The sequence below is a fragment of the Homo sapiens genome, chromosome 1 (genome assembly GCF_000001405.40).
Source record: "Homo sapiens chromosome 1, GRCh38.p14 Primary Assembly".
NCBI lineage: Eukaryota > Metazoa > Chordata > Mammalia > Primates > Hominidae > Homo > Homo sapiens.
The window spans coordinates 120,669,826-120,670,986 of record NC_000001.11 but is presented as its reverse complement, the minus strand read 5'-3'; positions in this window follow the sequence as shown (position 1 = coordinate 120,670,986).

Here is a 1,161-nt window from a genome sequence, read left to right as displayed (position 1 = left end):
CTTCAGTCTCTCCAGCAGTCTCCTCGATGTCCTTCCAGTATTCACTAACATTTTTCTCGAGGCCTTTCTAACTTCTGTGGCAACCAGGTACAAAGTCATTGCCATTTGTTTTCAGTTTTTGTTATAGTGAAAGTCCACTTTCAGATACCAAATTTAGTTCCAGTTATCTATTGTTACTTAGTAAACTACTCCAAAACTTAGCACAATAAGCAATTTATTGTATCTCATCATTTTGGTAATCAATAATTCTAGCATGGTTCAGCAGGGCAAATTTATTCCATAGTGGCCACAGTTAGGGTTGCTCAGTTGTGTCCAGCTGATGGAAGACTGCTTCACACATAATGCCTGGCACCCTGATGGGAACTGCTGGTCGTTGTGCTCAGCTAGGCCCCTCCCCTTGTCATGTGGTCTCATGGCCTCTGCACGTGGTTTATCTAGCATGGTAGTTTGACTTATCCAGCAGCTTAGGCCTTAGAAGACATGTCCCAAGAGTCTCACATGGAAGCTACAAGGCTTCTTACTTACTTAGCCTGGCCAGTCAGACATCTCTTCTGCTGTATTCTATTAGTCAAGTAAGTCTCTAAGGGTAGCCCATATTAAAGGGAGGAGAATTAGATTCCACCTCTCAATGGGAGAAGTAGCAAGTAATTTGTGGTCATCTTTAATCTACTACAGACACTGTATCCTTGATCTCAGAATGATGCCTCTTTGTCTGGAAAGGGCATTTGTTTTTTAAGCCCAAGGTTAGAGAGACAGACATGGAGCTGTGACGGATCAAGAAGACATCATGTTCTGACTAACCAGGTGATCACAGGGATCACTGAAGTGACAGATGTTGCAGACATATTGTCCTCCTATCTAAGTCCCAGCCAATGTTACGTGTCAAAATTAGGGAAGCAGTACGCAAAATGGTTAGGCAGGCCATTCTGAAACAAAACTGATTGGTTTCAAATCTCAGCTTTGCCATCAATCAGCTTTGTGAATGTGGGCAGTATAATTTACCTCCCTGTGCTCCACATTAGTCATTTGTAAAGTGGGCATTAACTAGAGCCTACCTCAAAAGACTGCTGCGAGGATGAAAAGAGTTAGTACACACACAATTGTTAGAGGAGGATCTGGCAAAAATATATTAGACATAGCTATTTTTATTATTGATGTATA